At 57.1% G+C, this 20,238-nt stretch overlaps 1 protein-coding gene and 1 long non-coding RNA gene across 9 annotated transcripts in view, besides 13 other annotated features; one reads left to right on the forward strand and one right to left on the reverse strand.

Moving 5' to 3' along the window:
- Positions 578-1,413: a transcriptional cis regulatory region, noted in NCBI's record as "candidate enhancer chr5.3240 targeted for multiplex CRISPR interference". NCBI's record gives its function as "positively regulates CYSTM1 and UBE2D2 gene expression with high confidence in K562 cells {active_cell/tissue: K562}" and the evidence as "EXISTENCE:mutant phenotype evidence [ECO:0000015][PMID:30612741]".
- Positions 578-1,442: a biological region, named in NCBI's record as "CRISPRi-validated cis-regulatory element chr5.3240". NCBI's record gives its function as "regulatory_interactions: CYSTM1 | UBE2D2".
- Positions 1,223-1,442: a silencer, noted in NCBI's record as "silent region_16416". NCBI's record gives its function as "represses an Ori minimal core promoter by ATAC-STARR-seq in GM12878 lymphoblastoid cells {active_cell/tissue: GM12878}" and the evidence as "EXISTENCE:reporter gene assay evidence [ECO:0000049][PMID:35858748]".
- Positions 1,889-2,183: a silencer, noted in NCBI's record as "tiled region #4362; HepG2 Repressive DNase unmatched - State 2:TssF". NCBI's record gives its function as "represses a minimal TATA promoter and a strong SV40 promoter by Sharpr-MPRA in HepG2 cells {active_cell/tissue: HepG2}" and the evidence as "EXISTENCE:reporter gene assay evidence [ECO:0000049][PMID:27701403]".
- Positions 2,433-2,852: a silencer, noted in NCBI's record as "silent region_16417". NCBI's record gives its function as "represses an Ori minimal core promoter by ATAC-STARR-seq in GM12878 lymphoblastoid cells {active_cell/tissue: GM12878}" and the evidence as "EXISTENCE:reporter gene assay evidence [ECO:0000049][PMID:35858748]".
- Positions 3,303-3,352: a silencer, noted in NCBI's record as "silent region_16418". NCBI's record gives its function as "represses an Ori minimal core promoter by ATAC-STARR-seq in GM12878 lymphoblastoid cells {active_cell/tissue: GM12878}" and the evidence as "EXISTENCE:reporter gene assay evidence [ECO:0000049][PMID:35858748]".
- Positions 3,303-3,888: a biological region, named in NCBI's record as "H3K27ac-H3K4me1 hESC enhancer GRCh37_chr5:139017982-139018548".
- Positions 3,322-3,888: an enhancer, noted in NCBI's record as "H3K27ac-H3K4me1 hESC enhancer chr5:139017982-139018548 (GRCh37/hg19 assembly coordinates)". NCBI's record gives its function as "activates a minimal SCP1, AML or CMV promoter by ChIP-STARR-seq in primed H9 embryonic stem cells {active_cell/tissue: H9 hESC(primed)}" and the evidence as "EXISTENCE:reporter gene assay evidence [ECO:0000049][PMID:30033119]".
- CXXC5 (CXXC finger protein 5) overlaps positions 12,224-20,238 on the forward strand; it is a 36,584-nt gene continuing 28,569 nt past the window's right edge. For 3 of the 8 annotated variants that reach the window (NM_001317203.2, NM_001317204.2, NM_001317200.2), the window contains exon 1: positions 13,876-13,934. The gene's annotated coding sequence lies outside the window, so the exon portion shown is untranslated. Of the gene's footprint in view, positions 12,361-12,828; positions 12,930-13,273; positions 13,771-13,875; positions 13,935-15,913; positions 16,092-20,238 lie in introns of those variants that run through there. The other 5 variants (NM_001317199.2, NM_016463.9, NM_001317201.2 and 2 more) reach the window with 4 other exon arrangements.
- Positions 13,202-14,331: a silencer, noted in NCBI's record as "silent region_16419". NCBI's record gives its function as "represses an Ori minimal core promoter by ATAC-STARR-seq in GM12878 lymphoblastoid cells {active_cell/tissue: GM12878}" and the evidence as "EXISTENCE:reporter gene assay evidence [ECO:0000049][PMID:35858748]".
- On the reverse strand, positions 13,924-14,653 carry CXXC5-AS1 (CXXC5 antisense RNA 1). Its single transcript, NR_149086.1, has 2 exons — positions 14,260-14,653; positions 13,924-14,106 (listed from the first exon to the last, which is right to left on the reverse strand). It is a non-coding gene; the product is annotated as a CXXC5 antisense RNA 1 (long non-coding RNA).
- Positions 14,532-14,701: a silencer, noted in NCBI's record as "silent region_16420". NCBI's record gives its function as "represses an Ori minimal core promoter by ATAC-STARR-seq in GM12878 lymphoblastoid cells {active_cell/tissue: GM12878}" and the evidence as "EXISTENCE:reporter gene assay evidence [ECO:0000049][PMID:35858748]".
- Positions 15,494-15,994: an enhancer, noted in NCBI's record as "H3K4me1 hESC enhancer chr5:139030154-139030654 (GRCh37/hg19 assembly coordinates)". NCBI's record gives its function as "activates a minimal SCP1, AML or CMV promoter by ChIP-STARR-seq in primed H9 embryonic stem cells {active_cell/tissue: H9 hESC(primed)}" and the evidence as "EXISTENCE:reporter gene assay evidence [ECO:0000049][PMID:30033119]".
- Positions 17,772-17,821: a silencer, noted in NCBI's record as "silent region_16421". NCBI's record gives its function as "represses an Ori minimal core promoter by ATAC-STARR-seq in GM12878 lymphoblastoid cells {active_cell/tissue: GM12878}" and the evidence as "EXISTENCE:reporter gene assay evidence [ECO:0000049][PMID:35858748]".
- Positions 19,742-19,791: an enhancer, noted in NCBI's record as "active region_23246". NCBI's record gives its function as "activates an Ori minimal core promoter by ATAC-STARR-seq in GM12878 lymphoblastoid cells {active_cell/tissue: GM12878}" and the evidence as "EXISTENCE:reporter gene assay evidence [ECO:0000049][PMID:35858748]".

Below are 20,238 nucleotides of genomic sequence, written 5' to 3' on the forward strand. Positions count from 1 at the left end.
TTTTCTCATCTAGAAAACGGGCACTTGGTCACCAGCCTGACCCATAGGCAATGCTTGGTGGAAAATGACCTTATCAAATTAAAGGGTTGTGACCGTGGGTGCTTATGGTTCAGGGAGGTAGGCCTGGACAGTGAGACATCTTTCTTGGATTCCTGTACATGCTAGAGGTTTGCCCTCCTTTGAGCTGGGCTAGCTCCTGGGACATCCAGGGACCTGGGGAAGACTGGCTGGGCCCTTTTGCAGCCTATGGCTCACATGCCCACTTGTTAAGGCCTGCAAGAGTGTGCCCACAAACAGGGTGAGCAGGCAGAATAATGGCCATGGCTAGCCAGACTGTGTGTCCTTGCCCAGTGTCTGTCTGTCCTTCCCCTTACCTTGGGGGACAAAAGGGAATCCAGTTGTCCTGCCTGGTGAATAAAAGCCTGGGGTTGGGGGAGGATTTGCCTCCAGCCACGGAGGAGGGGTATGCTGTGGAAGGAGGCCAGATCTCCCCCAGCTGTTTCCCAGCTCTGTTTGAAGGGGAAGGGAGAGGGATAAATGACTGGGTGATTGTGGCACCTACAGCCAGCATCTTTCCTCTCCACATTCTAGGTCACAGGCCCACACCTCTCTCCCTAGTCAAAGAGAGCCTCTGTGAGGGGGTTGAAGGGTGTCTTGGATCTGTGGGCAGGACTTGGGATCTGGGCACAGAGAGGTTGGGGAATTAACAAAGGTCACACAGCCAGGCAAAACTAGGGAATGTGGGGAGTCATTCTAGACAGGACCTTTAGGGGGAGCTCCCTGGCTACAAGAGATTTCCTGGAAGCCCTTGGGTGGGCCCAGGCCTGAACTGAGGAAGTGAGGGCTACAGCCCAGCTGGCCTTGCACTGGAACCACAGGAGTGGCCTTTAAGGGTGTGCTGAAGGACTGATGAATCTTGGCCCTGTTCCCACACACATGCACCACTGGGAATGGGAGTGGGGAGATTGCTGAGCTCTGGGGCCAGCCCTGTTTCCTGCTTTGGATTTGGAATGGGGAGAGCCTTTCTGGGGACTGAAACTGGTGCTTCAGCTTCTCTAGGGGGAAATGGAGAAATGGAAAGGGGGACTGACAAGGGATAGTCCTTAAGGAGTTTATTTGGGAGGCTCTGGGTCCCTTTGTAACTAGGTGGGTGACCTTTAGGAGGGAAGTGCTTTGTGTTCTACAGCTTTCTGAGAGTGGCAGGAAATGGGGCCAGTAGCAGTGCACACTAGTTGGGTTGCACCTGGTGAGAGATTAGGGGTGGTTTCCCCACCAAGGTCTCTGAGCCAGAGCTTTCAGCTGCATGAGCACAGCCTGCTCCCCCTGTGGAGGGGATTCTGGGGTGGGTGTGGTTGTATACTGGGGGAAGTGAGAATGTGGCCTCTCTGTGGGTGAGTGCAGCACCGTGAATTGTGTTTGTAACACTTGAGTTGTGTTTCCCAGGTGTATGTGATGGCAGAACTAGTTTTGCTGCTGGGGTGAATCAGGTTCCTGGAAGGGACTGGACTAACATGGAGAGAATGATGCTAAGTAGTTACAGTCATTATTATATACACATGACTTAGTAGTATAGAACCATTAGCAATGACCAAGACCACCTGTGTGTCGAGTGCTTACCATGTGCCTGGTGCTGTGCTAAGCACCTCACCTGCAGTGGCTCATTTAGTCCTGTCAGAACCCTGCAAGTTCATGCTGGTTTGCCTGGTGTTTGTTTATTGTGCCATGTTGGGTGGGGTATAATTTTATTCAAGTTGGAAGATGCAAAACAGCTTTATCCCTCTCTTAGTTACTGGGGTGCAACTTATGGCAGCATTTGCCCCTGTCATATTCTATACTTGGGCTCCTGGTCCCATCCTTTTGCCAGTATGGGCACCATTGTGTTGTACAACGTAGAGACCTAATTTGACAATGTTCTTTGAGGTAGTGGTGATGGATGATATGACTATATGACTTTTTTGCTTTGTTGTGTGACTGTTGTGCACCCAAAGTATGTAACTCCCTACTGCTGTGTGGTTGAGACCAGCTACTATATGACTCATTTTGTGTCCCGGTGATATTGTAGGTGTCTAGTGTAGGGACATCTGTTGTGGTATGGTGAACTGGTTGTGAATAGTGTGACTGTATGTTGTATCATTAGGTGTGTCTGACCCTGTTGTGTCCTGTTCTGACTTGTGTCAGAGACTGTTGTGGTGTCACTCCGTGTGGTGAGCGTGCCTCCTTTGTGGTGTGGGTGGCCTATGGTGGTGCTTCCTTTCACAAATTGTGTGTCCGTGTGACACCCCCCCCCCCCTCAGCCGCTGTGCCCCTTTGCGGGTCAGTGTGTTGTTTGACCTCGGCCGCGGGTGCCCCCACCCCTGCCGGCCCCGCCGCCCCTCCCCCGCACCGTCCGCCCGCGCCGCGCGGCGATCGATCGCCATTGATTGTCCCTGACGAGCTGCTCCACTTTCCAGCCAATGTCAGGAGGGGGGATCTCCGCCGCCCTGGCGGTGTCATTTCCACACACTCCCTGGGCTGCCGCCAGCGCGGGCGCCTCGAAGAGCCGGCCTGGATCGCCCGGAGCTCGGGCTGGACCGCCCACACCGCGCGAGGAAGCCCCCGATGGCGTGGCCCGACCCCAGTCTGCCGGCCTGCCCGCCCTAGGCCTCTGCACCCAAGCCCCCTTCCCAGCGCTGGTGGATGTTGTCACCACAGGAGTTTAAGCTGGGCCGGGTATGGGGAGGGACGCTGTGTCGGGTGCGCCCTGCGCTTGCCCTGGTGGGGGCGCGGGGCTGTTTCCGGCGGGCGGAGGCGCCAGCAGGCCAACTTTGCCGCGGCCCAAACAGATGCTAATGATTTTCCGGGAGGCGCCGGTTATCTCTGGCCCCAGCCGGCCGGTGTGCTGGGACTGGGCTCCCGGCACAGACACCACCTCGCCCCCCACCCTCACCCTCCTGAGCCCCACCTAATAACCACTTGTCCCCGAGTGGACGGGTTGGGGGGGCGTCGGGGGGAGTCCGCAGGCTGCCCCGGGTGTCCTGGAACTGTTGCTGTGTGGGATTATTTGCGCCTCCTCCACCCAGGATGCTACCGTCTTTCTGAGCACTTCGCAAAGCCAAACACACACCCGAGCACGGGAAACTGAGGTTCATAGAAGCTCGGCCCAAGGTCATGCCGACCCATTCCCTGCTCAGCTGAGTGGGTCACCCTCTGAAAACCATCCCGTCGGAGGACCCGCAGCCCCCTGTCCCCTTCTCGCTCAGGGGCCTGAGCCAGTTTCCAGACTCCCCGGTTGGAAGTGCTGACGTGGCTCTGGGCAGCTGTCTGGGGCCGGGAAGCGGGGCAGATGTCACGCAGCCCAGGGGAGGAGGCGGCTCCGCGGGGAGGACAGGCTGGGCCTCAGGCCTGGCAAGACTGCCTCCTCCCCCTAGGGCCTGGCTCTGCCCGCCTGGGGCTGGGGCACAGCCATGGGCCAGGCTGACCTGCTTCCAAGTCTAGCTCCAGCTCTTCGGTGTGGCTACCCGCAAGTGCTAGAGCCTCTCTCAGCCCCTTTCTCTCCTGCTAGAGAATAACAGCACCTGCTTTGAGTGGGTGTGGTCCTCTAGTGAAAGAGGTGTGCAAAGCCCAGCCCAGTGCCGGGCACACTGTTCCTGCTCAATAAATATCAGCTGCTAATATTACTGTTGTTGTCTCTGCAAGTAGGAACTTGGTGTGTCTAAATGCAAAACTGAATCCTGAGGGTGCAAACCAGCTTCAGAGGTCGTTCCAGCCAGCCTCCTGCCTCACTGCCCCTGGCCCTCTGCATTTCTCATGCCTGTCTAGCTTTGTGCCTTCCTGCTGCACTGTCAGCCCCTCTTGGCTTTGCCTACTGCCAAGCTGACCCCTCCTCCGTCTCTAATCCATGTGGTTCCCTCCTATCTGGCGGCCACATTGGGTCCCTCGAGCAGCACAGCCCCCTGGGAACAGCAATCGATGGGGCGGAACAGCCTCCCTGACAGATGGACCCACGGAGGCTGGGCTGCTTCAGCAGAGCTCCCTAGGAAACCGGAGACAGGAGCCGAGCCACCATGGCTGCCTCCTAAATAGAAATGAAAGGCAGTGGGCAGATGAGGAGGAGGAGGAGGCCAGAGCTTCCAACCAGCCCCCTGGAGGGGCTGGAGAGCCCCTACCCTTTTCCATAGTCCTAAAATCCCCGTGTGGGGAGGGCTTTGTAGAGTATGCCTGGAGGTGGGACTTGTGAGCCCCTCTCCACACGCAGGTGAAGAGCTTTGCCAGGCCCTCCATCGTGGACACCTTTTCTAATAAGCCCAGAGGCTGGTGTGTGGGTAGGGGGTGCAGGCAGGCAGCTTACCACATTCCTAGGGCCACAAAGGGCCTTGGAAGTCAGAATGGCAGAAGGGCCTTCTCTGCCTGTGGGGGTGGGAGATGATGAGCCCTGGCCCCTGCATGTGTGGTGGGGGATGGAGAATGCCTCCTGCTACCTTCCATACTCCCAGATCAGTCAGGGAATTCCTTCCAGGGTTTAACCTGGGATTTCTCAACTTCACACTATTGACATTTTGGGCCATTTAATTCTTTATCTTTTGCATTGTAGGATGTCAGTAATGGTAGTGACAACCAAAAATGTCTCCAGACATTGCCAAACATTCCCTGGGAGGTTCTCTAGTTTAGAACCACTGGTCTAACCTCAGGACCAGTCCCCTGGAGGAAGTGGTGAGGACTCCCATGGGGATGCCAAAGATCTGCCATAGTAGGGGAGAGAGGCCTTCCAAAACAGCCTTGTCCCCTGCTGTCTCGGGCCCAGAAGGGTGGGAGATGCCCCCCCCCATCATGGTCCCAACTGCCAGGTTGGAGCAAACCATGCTTGCCTGAGATGGCAGGGCTGTTGGCGTCACTGCTCAGCTGCGCCAGGCCTGGTGCCAACACCTCACTGCTGAGGCTACGAGTCATGGGGGCGGGGGAGCAGACACGGTCAGTGGGCACTGGGCTGCCTAGGTGTCCTTCTATCTAGTCAGCTTGAGATAGGGTTAGCCAGCATGGATGACCAGCCTTTTCCCTTCCCGTGGCACCCTGGCAGTGTCTCTGCTGCCTCCCTCTAGGTCGGTTTTGGGCTGGTGTTGGGGCTGGCAGAGCTAGTGGGGGCTACTGCTACTGCCGAGTAAGAGAGAGGATTATGGACACAGGTCCTGCCGGCCCAACCAGCTGACAGCTGGGCCACCTGAGCACTGAGCAACTGTCCCCTCCAGGAAGGTGGGAGGGAGGAAGGCACTATGGGTTGGCTAAACGGTACAGAGTCCCCTAACTCACAGCCTTTAAACCAGGGGGTTGGGGAGGGGGCTCCCTCTGGAGACATTTTCTTCCTCTTCCTGCCCAGGAAGACAGGAGGGAAAGCACTCTAGTGCACAGTCTCACTGCCGGGAAGTTCCTATATCTGTCTAACCTACTTCTTTTCTTCCTATAGCATCAGCCCTATAATGGCCTGCAAGCTCTGACCCCAGCAGAAACTGGGCCCAGCATTGCAGGCTTTCTGGCCAGGGTGTGCCCTCATTCCTGGGGAAGATAACTCATCCATGGGAGAAATCTCAGTCAGAATACAGCTCGATGGATCCCTGTGTGTGGGGAGGAATGAGGGTGCCTCAGTGGACAGGGCTGGGGGATGGAGAGGAGCATTGGTGCCAGTTGACAGACTGCCCCAAGACACACTGAACCCAGCACCAGCCTAGGGGGTCCCAGGGCAGGGAGGAAGAAGTGACTGGGAGGTGGGCAGTGGCTTTGTAATCAGAGATGGCCTGGCGGGCTAAGGCGGCAGCTTGGGGCTGGGGTTTAAAATAGCGCCTTGGCCTGGCTAGGACCTGCCCGGGATCGGGTTCGGGTCACCCGCAAGGCAGTGTGGCCACCACCATCCGGCTCGGGTTTCTTGCCTTCCCAGATGATTTGGCGGTGGAGGAGGGGGCTCACCCAGGCAGATGGATCTAAGGAAAGGAATCCAGGTGTGGCCACTAGAGCCCCCACAGCAGGCCCTGGTCCATCTCTCTTTTTCCTGTGCCCTTCCCCCCGACATGGAACAGACTTGGTCCAGCCACATCCCGATGCCTTCCCTAAACATTTAGCACCAACTGGGACCAGGCCCTGGACAGCATGGAGATGGGTAAGGCCTTATCCCTCTCCTGAGCCCCAGGAGTGCACAGAGGGAGAGATCAGTATGCATTGTGATCCTGTCGCTCCCATGTTTCACTGATGTCCCAGACTGACTCTGAAAGTCCCTAGGCCTGAGGAAAAAAAACCCCTCCCAGGCTGCAGCAAGAGCGGAAGGTGGAGCCTCAGGTAAGCCTTCCACCTGAGAAAATGGCTGCAGTGGGGAGGGGAAGATGTCCTCAAAAGCTAGTGATCATCCTAGAACATTCCCTAGGATGGTCCACTCCCCTAGTGTTCCCTGGAGGGAGTGACCAAACAGAGTGATCTCCCCCATCCCTCACCCCTCCAGCAAAGATCTCAGGCATAGGTCTAAGAGTGTATTCTGGTAATTCTGTCTCCAAGTAGGGTGCCCACTTCCTCAGGCCAACTCAAGGAACAGGGAAAGGGATCAGGGGATATGAAGGGGGTGTCCCCTCTTTAGTATTTCAAGGGAAGTAGATAGTTACAGCCCTACCATTCCCCATTAGGCCATTTGAAAGGGAAAAAAGTTACTTCCAACAATAAACAGTTCCATCTAACCACAGCCCCACTGCTGCACTCTCCCTTGCTGTAGTCTCTGGGCCTCTGGACACAGTTGCAGTCTCTGGGCAGTGGCCTTTGGAGCCTGGCAGGTAGGGATTCTCTTCACTTTCTCCTCCTTCCCCTGGATTGAGGTGGGTGACACAGGAGGCCAGCCAGCTCAGGACCAGATCCCCTCTCTCTAGCTGGAGCAATAGCCAGCCCTCCTGACGGAGCTCACATATATCTAAAACATCGTCTTGTAGATCTTAATGATTTCTCAACAGCCCCTGATTGAAGCATGCCCAATTTAGCAATGCCGTAAGTAACTTTTTATATTTCCTTAGGGAATCATTTCACTTATGAATCTTTTCTGAATCTGCAATCTCGATTAAAAGTTGATGTTGTTTTTTCTCGTCTCCTCGGCTTCTGAGATGCCTCCCTAGTGAAAAGGGTGGTAGCACCATCAATCCTCCTCATTAGTCTGTCTGGAGAATTTTTCTTGAGGGTGGGGTGGGGGACAGCAACCAAGTCTCCTCTGTCGTGGCACCTAGCGGGGTGTGACCTGGGGGAGGGTTGCCCTCGGGGAGGGGCTCGGAGAGGTGGGGGGGGCATTGACCGTCTCCTGCCCACATACACTCCCCCATCTGCCCCCATCTCAGGGGCCCCTGACAGTGTTTCCGTGGGAGAGAGGGGTTGTCCAGCCCATTCTGCCTTTAGGGTGTGTCCTCACACCTGTAGCTTAGGAATTTGAGGAGAGGGCTGAACCCCATTCAAGGCTCAGCTTGATAGCACAAAACTGGACCAAATCCAAGCTCTTTCCTGTACAGCCGCCATAGCCTGGGTGAATCAGTCATTCCCCTCTCAGAGCCTCAGTTTACTTATTTGCAAAGTGGGAATGAGATTGCTAAACAGATGACCTAGCATGCTGGTGAAGGGATCACTTAACACAGTGCCTCTACAAAGGGTCCTGTCCCAATTCTGAACAGTATCTAGTTCTTTTCCTCATCTCATTCACCTTCTAGTCCTGGTGACGCCTTTGAGGTGGAGTGAGTGGGTCTGGCATAATTATCTCCAGGAGGAGAAAGGACTGGTGGGATTGGGACTTGCCCAGGGGTTGCCCCAGGAAGCCCACCCAGAGGCCTGCCTCTCCTGAGAGGCAAAGGGCAGGGATGCAAGACGGCTGGATGGCAGACGAGGATGAAAAGCTTCCGGATTCGAAGGAAGCAGCGTCCCCACAGAAAGCCCTCCTGCTCCCCTCCCTGTTGCTAGCTGGGGGAAGGACTTGCCCAGGTGCTGGGACGTCTGGCTCTGACCTCTAACCTTTGACTTCTGGGCTGGGATGGGCATTCTCAGGACCAGAGTCATGACTGGGGGTGGGGCCCAGGGCACCCAGCGGCGGCTGGGCTCTGGGAGTTAACGATTTACGAGGGGCCCTTTCTTGAGGCCTCCCTCCTCCCAGGCCTGGCAGGCAACCCGTGACTGCCCAGGCGGCTAGACACAGAACCAGTCTCACCAGTTCAAAGAGCAGTTCATCCCGGGCCCACCCCCAAGCACTGTCTGAGCACCCCATTCCTTGGAGTCTGAAGGGAAGGGCAGAGTAGGGGGTGGTAGCTGGGGTCTTGGGGCCCCAGGTCTGAAGAGAAAGAGGCTGGGCCATTTTCGGAAGTCTCAGTGCGGGCCATTTCTGACCCTGCACTGCCCTCCAGGACCAGATTTGTAGAGAGGAGGCTGAGCCCCACCCTGCCTCCTCCAGCAGGCCTCCCCCACACCACCACACCCTAGCCTTCAGGCTTTGGGTCGGGCAGGGCACTTTCAGGGCAGGCTGGCTTCTCCTGCCCAGGGCACCCCTCCTCCAGGTGCAGGGCTCCAGATTGGGACACTGTGCCTCTGCCTCCCCTAAGGCCCCATTCAGTTACCTCCCCACCTCTCAGCAATGCTCTCCCTCCCTCTTCCTGAAGTGTGGCAGGGAGGCTGGAGCCACAGCTTTGGCCTCTGGGAGCACTCAGTCCCACTCCCATAGGACAGAGTTGAACCATGATTGTGTCTAGAGAAGCCAAGGGTTATTGTCAGGGGCACAACAGCCCCCAAACTGTCCCTCTCCCCATCAATATCCCATATACAGGCTGAGTTCCCTGTGCCTCACTGAGAACAGGGCTGTATCTGGTTGTCTATGGCGTGTATGTAGCTGTGCCTGGGCAATGGGAAATATAGCTTGCTTCCTGCTTTCTCTCAGCCTCTGTCCCCAGAGTCATTTTGTTCTGGGACTGGAGTCTTCCTTCTGTCCTCATCCCTTCCCCTCTGTTTACACAGGTCAAGGCCAGGCATTGGCCACCAAACTGACTTCTCAGGAATGGGCAAGCCTGGGTTACTTGAGAGACTTGGCTTTTTGAATTTTCATTTCACAGCTCTCTGCTCCTTCAGACGTCATGGGGGTGGGGTGGGGAGGACCTAAAGTCCAGTGGTCAGTGCGTGAGGGCCCAGACCCAAAGGCCCGGGGCCACAGTCTGGTGCGGTTAGGCTCCTCCCTGCCTCTGCCCGTGTTTGCACCCCCAGGCCTGCCCTGGGATTTTGGCTGAGGTCACAGTCCAGCATGACCCCACTGAACACTATCCTGTGCCCTGCCCCAGCAGGCAGGGTTTCAAATGCCTTTGCTCCCATCCTTTGTGATACAGGTGACAGAACTGGGGCCCAAAGAAGGGTAAACCTTAGACTGAGTTCCAAATTGGCCATCTTTATTGGAGATCCTAACTCCCACACTCCTCTCCATGTGGCCATTTCCAGTCACTGGATGTTTAATCAATGACAGATATTAGCAGATAAATGGCAGTCATGGAAAATGCCTCAGACAAGGCATGGATTGAAATCCTGGTTTTGCTACTTTGTAACCTCACACAGGTGTCCAAGCCTGTGGATTTAATAAGCCTATGTTCAAAAAGCAATTAGCATGGTCCCTGACAAGCAAGAGCTCAGAAAGATTCTGGCTACAATTGTTATTACTGGTACCTCTTTGGAGGCCAAGCTTCGGGCCCAAGGCAGGTAGGGGACTCCTCCTTACCTTCAAAGAATTTTCATGGCGGGAGGTGGTGGCGAGGGGACAAGTAGTGAGATGAGCAAATAAAAGCTATTTCTGTGCATTGTGGTCACTGTGGCCATAGGAGGGGTCCCAAAGCCAGATGAAGGACCCAAAGCCAGGCCACAGAGTACATCTGTCCTGTGCATGCACTGCAAAAAGGCACCTAGCAAAGGGAGCTAGGAAGCTGAAAGGCAGTCTGTGACCTCCTTCATGGTTTCCTGTATCTGCCAAAAGTGGGTACCTTTTTCTGATTTGCACAAAGGCTAGTGGTGGCCCTGTAGGTATGGCCCAAACTCAGGCTGGAAGTGGCAGTCTGAGATGGTTCCCAGGTGATATGTGCTCCTGGTCTTCCATGAGGAGTTCATGAGGTGAGCTTGATGAGGCCTATCTTGGCAGAGGGAATGGTACATGCAAAGCTCTGGAAATCTGGAGAGGAGTCTTGGGGTGTCAGAGGGAACTGCCAGTGTTAGATGGCATTGGTCAGCAGGGCCTGGCAGGGAAGAGAGTCAGTTAGGGAAGCCAGGCTGAGTAGGGTAGTCTGTGAGGAACCACTGCAGGATGTGAAGCAGATGAGCCTCACTGGAGGCTGTGGAAAGCCTCCCTAGAATAGCACATGGCCTCAGGGGTTTGAGAACAGCTCTGATGCCAATCTCATTTCAGTTTCCTCATCTGAATAATGGGGATGACATTATTGCAGGGGCTGCTATAAGGGCTAAATAAGATAATGTACCTTAACTGTTTAGCACAATGCCCTGCTCAGGGTAAGGGCTGCACAAATACCAGCCATGGGTATTATCAGCAGGATCCAGGAGAGCACACTCCAGGGTCCCGGGTGGACGCACCCCTCCCTAGAAGACAAGGCTGGTGATGCAGGGGCCATCTCCCCCAGCGGTGCTGGAGACTGAAGGAGCTTCTTCCTGACTTGAAGGCTGATTGGTTCAAAAAACTCAGCAAAAAGTTTAATAGCAAGGTGAGACTTCAATTCTCCTTTTTGAGGTAGGCAGAGGTGGGAGAATAGTGAACCAAGCTTCCCTTCTTCTTGGGGAAGGGGGCTGTGGTGGGGACAGTCTCACCCAAGGGCAGAGATCCTCACCCCATCCTTCCTGGATGTCCCCCGCTTGTCTCATTGGCATCTGTGGTGGAGAGTTCTTTGTGGATGGCTTGCACATGACATTTTCTGTTTCTGTAACACTTTCTGTGTGGACAATTCTGTCCTTTTCCTCTGTGGCTCCCATATGGGTTGGATAGGTGACAGTCTAGGTCTCCCTCCCAAGGTGTTAATTTCCAGCAAGGGAAAACTCCAAGATCCACCCCCTAAACTGGGCCAGACAAGTCAACACCCCTTCCCTGAGGAAGCCATCACCACTGGGACCACCTGGCCTTCCTCCATTGCAGCCTGTGGATCCCTGGCCTCCCGCCTGAGTTGGGGGTGGGGGTGGAGGCATAAGTCTGAAAAAAAAGTGGGTAATAGTCAGCAGTTCCCTAAAGTAGAATTACTACCCACCCTCTGCCATGGACCCCAGCATAAAGCTTTTTGTGGGGCGTGCATGACCTGACTCTGTACTGGCGTTAGGCTTCAGGAGATCTGTGGAATAGAGTTTGACTTCATGGATCCTAACCCTCTGAGACCTGCTGCTGACTCCCAGGGAGCAGGTCCTCCCTCACAGTCTGTGCCTCAGCTTCCCCAGAAAAGGTAGATGGAGGTGAGTTAAATGCTTGGAGATCCTACACCTGGGCTTTTGCTTCCTTTTTCCTTGCACGGTCAGTGCCCAACACAGTGCCTGACATTCACACTGAGGCCCAGCATACCTATCTTTAAGCAGTTTGGAAGTGATCTTCTGGGGGTGATGGGCGTCTTAAAACGGTTTCCATAGCAAGCACCTTACTTTTACTCACATGGGATGTTTGTTTGGAGGGGGGCATTAAAAGGACTGCTGGCAAGGAGGAGAGAGACTAAACGCCTCCCCAAGGGAGCCATTTCTTGGCATAGTAGTTAAGGGAGACCACTTCTCAGCATTCGGAAGGAACTGGTTGGGAGCAGGTGTCCACGATGTCTGGGGAGGGGTCACTTCGTGTGGTCTTGGATATCAGGAGTGGCAGAGAGGCAACACATTCCAGATGAGCTCTGCCCTTTGACACCTCCCCCCACCCCACCCCGGCTGGGTCAAGGCCCCAAGGCCACATATAGAAGGCGTGGAAGGTGGGCACCAGCTGCTGCTGCCAGGAGATCCATGCTCCATAAGCCCTCGCGCCAGCCTCGGAGACAGCCAGGCTGCGCAGAGCAGAGGAGAGGAAGCAGCGAGGTGGGAGACAGTTTCGCTTCTCCCACCGAGGCCGCGCCTGTGGCTGCAGGCGCCCGGATCGCCACAGTTAACTCCCTGTTATCTGGGCCCCAATCGATCTCAGGCTGTAACGTTTAACCCTAGGCTGACTTCCCCAACCGCCCTCCCCCTCTCCCTCCCCTGCTTGGGTCTGGGGACTGCGTTTTCTTCGCCTCGCAGAGGAAGGTCGGCCTTGCACAAATCCGCCCCCACGAATCCCAAAGAATTGGAGAAAACTTCCACTTTGGGATTATATGCAGTTGGGATTATATGAGCCCGGGGCTTGCACCATGGGTACGTGAGGTGAAGACATCTGCAGCAGCAGGATTAATTAGCCTAAGATGGGCATATGGAGGCCACTGATGGAGTGAAAGCGGGATATGCGGGCCCAACTCTGTCCCCACTGGGCGCCTACTCTGGCAAGGCTGAGTTTTCCTTCTGTCTTTCAATCAGTACCTATTGAGCGCTGCTGTTCCAAGCATTGTTTCGGGTTTTGAGTGCGTAGGCCATGGTCTCAGGGCACCAAATGTACGTAGTCGTTTTAGCCCCGGGACTCAAGAGTTGAGGCTGATGCCTGCCTGAGAGATAAAATATCCTTTCTCGGATCAGTTTCCTCACCTGAGAAATGGGAACGGGAATCTCCGCCCCTTTTCTCCCGGGGCCCTAGTGCCCACTGAATCCATTAAGGAGCTCTTGGAAGGGTGGGGTCTTGGAACACGCGTCTACCTCCCAGGACCCTCGACTAGGAATCTCTGGCCCGCCGCGCACCTGAGCTGGGGGGCGCGGCCAAATTCTCCCTCCCGGTCCTCGAAGCTTCTGGCCCCGCTCTAGAGGGGGCAGAAAGATAGCAGATTTCCCCGGAGGTGCGTCTCTAAACCCAGACCGCCTCACCAAAGCGGGGAGGTCGTCCTTTTTTTTTTTTTTTTGTAAAGTTGCGGGAAATAGGCGAAGACGGGGCGCGCAAGGGAGCTGAGCCTGGGTGGACCGCGTCAGGGCGCGGGGAGCTCGAGGCGCAGCGGCTGCAGCTCCGGCCTCAGAGCCCGCGGCGTCCAAGTGGCCCGAGCTGCGCTGGGAGGGAGGCGGCGGGAGGAGGGAGGGGAGCCGAGGTGGAGGGGGTTGGGGGGAGGAGGGAGCGGCGAGTCCGGTCCGGGTTTTGCCGGCAGCCCCCGGGCAGCGTTCATAGCTCCTGCCCGGGCGGGCGCGCGGCGGCGGCGGCAGAGGCGGCTGAGCCTGAGCGGGGATGTAGAGGCGGCGGCAGCAGAGGCGGCACTGGCGGCAAGAGCAGACGCCCGAGCCGAGCGAGAAGAGCGGCAGAGCCTTATCCCCTGAAGCCGGGCCCCGCGTCCCAGCCCTGCCCAGCCCGCGCCCAGCCATGCGCGCCGCCTGCTGAGTCCGGGCGCCGCACGCTGAGCCCTCCGCCCGCGAGCCGCGCTCAGCTCGGGGGTGATTAGTTGCTTTTTGTTGTTTTTTAATTTGGGCCGCGGGGAGGGGGAGGAGGGGCAGGTGCTGCAGGCTCCCCCCCCTCCCCGCCTCGGGCCAGCCGCGGCGGCGCGACTCGGGCTCCGGACCCGGGCACTGCTGGCGGCTGGAGCGGAGCGCACCGCGGCGGTGGTGCCCAGAGCGGAGCGCAGCTCCCTGCCCCGCCCCTCCCCCTCGGCCTCGCGGCGACGGCGGCGGTGGCGGCTTGGACGACTCGGAGAGCCGGTAGGTGTCGGGCCACGGCCCTCCCTCGACCCCCCCCGGAGGCCGGCCCCCTCCCCTTCCCCGCCTACCTCCCTCTCCTCCCCCGGGGTTCGGTGCGCGGCCGGGGCCGGAGTTCGCTGCAAGTCGGCGGAAAGTTTGGCTGCGCGGGTTCCCCCGAAGTTCAGGTGCGGAGAGCCGGGGACGGGGAAGGAGGGGTCCGTATTTGGGAGGGGCGGGGGGCGCCCGCACCGTAAGCCGCGGAGCCCCGGAGCCTGGGAGACCTAGCGCCGGTGATCGCTTGGTGGCCGCTGCTATACCCAAGCCTCCCTAAGCCGCAGTATGCTCGGTCGCAGATCACTGAGTTCAGACAAAAAGAGGGGTTTTAGGGTCTGGGACGGCGGCTTGGGCGCCGTGGAGTGGGGCTGGGACGCTCCTTGCGGGGTGCCGCCCCCCTCCCCCCCACTACTCCAGTTCGCGGGCGCTGGGGCAGCGGGCGCCCGGGGTCCTCACCTCTTGGCGTTGGGCGGGCGCTCAGCCTGCGGGGGCGGCTGCTTGTAGATCTCTGGCGCGCACTCCCCCCATCAGACCCCGCTCGCAGCCCTGTGTTGAGGGGCGACGTTAACTGCTCTGGGCGCCCTCGACCACGCGTGGCTGAGCCTCCCCCACCACTTGGAAGAAGCGGCGGCTACTTCTGCATTTTTCCTCCGGCTCCTCGCCCCCGCTGCCCGCGGGGTGCCCGGCGGGCTGATGAAGTTTGACCTTTTTTTTCCATCAAAGTATCTCCCCCACCACCACGGTGCCCCGCGGCCCCTCCCTCCCTCCTTTCCCAGCCTTGGGGAGTCTTTTGAGCTGTCTCCCGAGCCCCGCGTGGGCCACGCAGCGTGCAGAGCCTGGGAGGGAGAATGGGGGTGTTCCTCTAGCTGCGGAACTGTGGGGGGCGTACGTCCCCGGCGCCTGCCACGCTGCACTGGCCCCAAATTTACCCATGAAGTTCGGCCCGACCCCCCTCCCCTTCGCTTCCCCGGAGCGGAGTGAGGGGCTGAACCGCCGCGAGAGGAATGTGTTAATTTTCTGGCTGGGGGAAGTTGTCCTCGCCCGGAATGGGCTGCTTTCCGGCGGGGAGCGCGGGGTGCGCCTGGCTTTGTTTATTTGTAGGATCGACGGAAAGCGAGTGACCCCGGTTTTTAAATGGGGGGCCACCTTCGGGACCTGTCAGAAGAGCTGAAACGCCCAAAGTGGGAGCAAGATCTCTTTTTGTTCTTTTTTCCCCCCCGGGAATCTGAAGGGGTGCGCGGAGTTGGGCTGGTGCCTCGGGCTGCAAGGAAGCACCAGTAAATTTGGGGGGTTCTGTAGTGACTCATTCGGAAAGACCCGCTCCCTGAAGTCTCCCGCGACGGGGGTCTGAAGGTTTGGCAACCGCGCCCTCCTTTGCCCCCTGGACTTTGGGTGGTCTGAGAGTCGCGCCTTCGGATGGGGGGGGAGCTAAGGGGGTGACCAGCGGACCAGACTCCTGACCCCCACCTTTCCTCGCGCGGCGGGCGCTGTTTGGAGCCCTTGGATTTGTGGTGGGCCCTGTCCCCCCCACCCCCGCATTTTCTTTGGAAGCGTTGGGGAGGGGGCGTGTGTGAGATCGCTCGGCCCTCGCCCCCGCCGGAGCCGCCCCAGGGCCGCCGGCAAACAGAGTCCCTTTCAAGTTTTCCGCTGGGGCCGCCTGGCGGGGGCTGCGAGCGCGGTCGCTGCGGACTTGTTTGGAGCGCGATTTGAACGCCCGGCTCCACCTCAGCTGCCCCAGGCCGCGGGGTGGGGGGCGTCTGTCCTTTGCAGTTGGGAGTATTTAAATTAGACGTCTTGGGGGACCTACTGGCCTAAGCTTCACCTGATCCCCCTCCTGAAAGATGCCCGTGCCTTGGTTTCCAACCGCCACTAGAAAACCGGGAACTGAGACCGAAGCCCCCTCTAAACCCCTTTCTGAGAGCCGTGCGGGGAAACTCAGGCCGGCGGGCTACCTACCCGTAACTGCGTATTGTTGATTTAGCAGTTTCCCTAGATGAGAGTCAGGCTGGAGCTTGGGGGGGTGGGGAGTGGCCCGCTCTGCAGCTGTCACCCCCCTCCCAGAACGGAAATTGTCCTCTCCTTGGGGAGGAGGGAGAGGGGGTGATGGTTTGATTTTTGCCCTGGGAAGAGATGGGAACAGCTGAAGGAGATTGGCCTCCGAGTTCCCAGCCAGCCCCCGGAACTTGGGTAGAACCCCCCTACCCCTCATCCTCGCAGTAGCTGGGTCTCTCCCAGGGACGCCCCTAGTCAGCCTTGGCCTCCCTCTCCATGCCACCTCCCTTTCCAAGGTGAGCCTCTGCAGAAGACAGACCCTTGGCTGGCTGGCTGTCGGGTTGGTGCCTTATTTATGTGTGTATCTGGTCCTGGCCGTTTTCCCCGCTCAGCAGGTGACCCTGGCCAGGGCCTCCTATCTCTCCCGCGACAGAGCCTGTTGACTTACCCGAGGGCCAGTGGCCTCGTCTTTATCACGTGAGGCCTGGAATGTCCACCCAGCTGGGCTAGGCTGGGCTGGGCTGGGCTGGGGTGGGTGGGGGAAGGGGAGGGGAGGATTCTGCATCCAGGGCACCGGCCAGCACAGGCCCATGTTCCATGGGTTCCCACTGTGACCCTCAACTCTTGCTGCCCCTTTCCTGCTCTGCCTGCCTCCTACTCATTTGGCACATGTGAAACTGAGACCCATAGGAGTGTGGGGGCAGGCTTGTATCTGGGTGAAGAAACAAGTCCAGGGGAATGAAATACCCTGCCTTCTTCAGGACTGACTGCACCTTGTTGTTTATGGGAGGATGGAGTGGAGGGAGTCTTGCTAGGAGGGAGAGAGGGATGTGGGCTGGGCTGACTTTCCAGGTTGCAGGATAGGGTGGAGGAATGAGGGAATACGGGTGAGCCAGACCCAAGCCTGGGTTCCTAGAGCCCCTGTCTGGTGGCTTGATCATTTAGTCCGAATTAACAAGCATGATGCTCTGGGGCATGCCCTAATTGAACAAGAATGGGGGGGTTCACACATTGTTATTACGTTACTATTGCCCACTCTTTATATGTTATTCATTTGTTGGCCCAATATGTTTGTATTGAGCACCTACTGTGTATCAAACCCCACCCTTCTGGTGGTACACAAATGAATCACTGCTCCAGCTCTGGAGGCAGGCCCAGGATAGAAGCTCCGCCCCGTTTCCCCGCCCCCTGGGGCCCTGATTGGGGCTTTCCCTCTTTTCTTTTTTCTGGGGCTCTCCCTCTCTTACCCCCACCACCTGGTCCCATCCTAGCCGCCGGCGCGCGCGCGCGCGCGCGCGCGCGTGTGTGTGTGTGTGTGTGTGTGTGGCTGTGTATGTGTGTGTGAAGTGTCCTTGATTAAGTGTATTAATAGTTAAACTCTCACTCATAGCTGGAACTCACCAGACCACAAAAAGCCTCCCCCGTTACTCACGCGCTACTGCCCAACAAGAATATCCCACTAAAGTTTTTTTCTGCTTTCTCTTACTTCCCCCTCACCTCCCCCCAACGCTGAGCCCACCCTTCCTGGATTCGAGCAATGAGAAAGGACTGCCCCCTAAAGACCCAGGAATCTCCAACCCTCCACCTGCCCCCTAAAGCCAGAGGCAGTGTCAGCTGACAGAGATGAGGCTGTGTGGGCACTAGTCTGTTGTTCTGGGATGTGGGAATCTGGGTGATGTGTGCTTATGACTCAGGACATGTGTGTCTCTAAGTAGTGTATCTATATCTGTGAATCTCTGTGTTGAATGTCTGTCTCAGGGTGTGGGAGTCTGAACATACATGGATTTATGAATCAGGGCATGTATATTTGTCCTGATCTAGAAGTGTGTGGATCTGTAGTGTATGTGTACATGTGTGTTTGTGAATCTGAGATTGTATTTCTGAAGATTGGCTATGTCCCTGTGAATCTGGGAATGAATATATTCTGTGAGCTGTGTGTGCTTGGAATTTTGGAGAGTTTGGATTTGTGATTTGTGTGTATCTGTGTGCTTTGTATATGCTTATAAATCTGGGGGATCTGACTCTGAGTAGAGTGTGTCTGAATTGTGAATGTGGGAGTGGGCCTGTCTGTGCTGTATGGACAGTGGTTTCTCTCTGTCTGTGGTGGCGGCTGGCTATGTTTTCCTTTCTCTTTCTGTATCTCCGTCTTACTGAATCTCCCCCTCTGGTTGTTTGAGGCCCTGAATGTGTGTGTAGCATGGAGTGTGTGTGTGTAGAACTGAACCTCTCACACCCAGTCCTTCCCCCTGCAACCCCTACACCCCTTCCCTCCCCAGCAGTAACTGGGCAGCCTCCCCGTCTGCCTGCCTGCTGGGAGTTTTGGAAGCCGCAGAGGGAGACAGGCTGGGGCTGGGGTGACAGCGTGTATCCACGGCAATGGTAGCATGTGATTACGGGAATAAAAGGATTTTAAGGTCATGGGTGGGTTTTCTGGAGGGAGGGGGTTGTGCCCCCACAACCCACCATTTGGTGGAGCCAGTGGCAGCAAAGGGCCAGCCTGTGTGTCTCCATGCTGGGAAGCCTGCCCCTATGCAGGTGAATGTGGATATGTGGGGCTTACCTGGGAGTGTGAGCACATGCTTGCACATGTATGAACGGAGCCTGTGAGAGCATGTGTGTCTGGCTGCCAGATCCCCAGATGAGAGTCCATAGGCTTGTTCCCTGGGGGAGGATTCCCAGGAAAACTTCTTGCTTCTGGGTATTACATGGAGCTGGAACCCCACAGTCCTCTGTATGTTGAGAAGCAGTCTGGTCCCAACCTTTCCCTGTACCCATACTCCCAACCCCAAGTCTAGTGTCTCTGGCCAGAGACTGACTGGGCCAAGTCACCTGGGCCAGGCCACATCTTGGGGTGTCAGTGCCCTGGCCCCGCTCCAGCCCCTGTAATTGCATTCTGCCGCCTAATCCCCCGCCAGCTCAATTAGATCGCAAATTCTTCTTCATTTCCTGCCTCTGATGCTGGCCTCCCTCTGGGCTCACAGGGCCTAGGAGGGAGGGAGGGGATCCTGCCCCGCCTTCCACAGCACTAGGGGCTCTAGAGAGGTGATTAGTTCCAGGCACACTGGCCCCAGAGCACAGGTTAGAACCCTGGGGACCAACAAGACAGGGCTCCACTGGCCCTTTTTGGGTCAGCCTCAGTATCCTCACACTAGGGCAGGGCTGGTGTTACCTGGTATGGGGGCTCTGGGTAGACCAAGCAGATCACTCTAGCCAGGACCCTAGCTTGTACCCTCACCTGGGGCTCCTACAGGCTCTGCCCCTCTCCCATCCTCAAAGCAGTTGCCATCTCCCCAACCCCCCACGGCAGTTGTGACCTTGTTTTTGACCTTTTCTGGGTGTCCCTTGTCAGAGCCAATTGAACCACTGAGCTCCACTGCTACCGGCTCCTCCTAACCTCCACCCAGACAAGTGTGTATGAGCAGTGGCTCTAGAGTCCATCAGATCTGACTCCAAATCCTGGACATGTCACTGCCTAGCTGGATGTGTGACATTTGGGCCAGTTGTGTTATCTCTACAAACCTCAGTTTCCTAATCTCTGAAATTGGACGGTAAGAGAATGCCTGCCTCACAAGGTCATTTTCAGATGGACACAGATGGTTGCATAGTGCCTGGCAGGGAGAGGTGCTCACCTACAATCTGTATTCAGTAAACACTGGCTTTTATAGAGACAAGGAATGCATGTCCCCCGTGAATCCTAAGAAAATAACATGTGGCTCACACCTCGCACTTCTGTCTCCATTCAGCTGATTACCAGGTGTGTGACCGTGGGTGCATCACTTTGTCTGACTTTCTCTTCCTCATCTGTAAAATGGGACTGATAATAGGACAGACCCCATGGGGCACATGGTAGCCTTCTCTGAGATGATGTGTGCAGATGCTTGGCCTCAGTATGTTTTCAAGGTGTTACTTGCCTTCTTTCTTTCCTCACCCCAAGCCTAGGGTGGGGTAGAGCTGGTGAAGACACAGGCTCAGGGACAAGGGGACTGACCCAGGTGGTGAAGCTAGTAATGGGGCCAGGCTGGGGTAGCGTGGGAGGGCTGGGGGGTGACCTGCTGGCTCAGCTGAGCTGTGAGGCCCAGCCGTCCCTCCCCACAGGTCTCTGTGGAAAGTGGTGGCTTGGCTGATTTTTCCTGGGAAGGAGAAGCTGGATGTCTCCCGCTCCTTCCCCAGGAGGTGCCGTGGCAGCGGCTGTGTTGACAGGCCTCCTGGCTTTCTTGATAGGGTGGCTGGCAGCTCTGGAAGGCCGGCTGTACCCAGATCAGCCCTAGGGAAGAGGGAACTGCAGAGGTCTCCCTGCCATCACTAATCCCCGAGGCCCATCCCACCCTCAGCCTGTCCCTCCATCGCAGGAGGAGAGCTGGGGAGACTGGCTGTGATGGAGGTGGTGGAGAGACAGGCCAGAGGTGGGGCAGCCCTCCGCCTCAGGGTTCCCCATTGCTCCCT

This window comes from Homo sapiens, chromosome 5, assembly GCF_000001405.40.
Source record: "Homo sapiens chromosome 5, GRCh38.p14 Primary Assembly".
NCBI classification, from domain to species: Eukaryota; Metazoa; Chordata; class Mammalia; order Primates; family Hominidae; genus Homo; species Homo sapiens.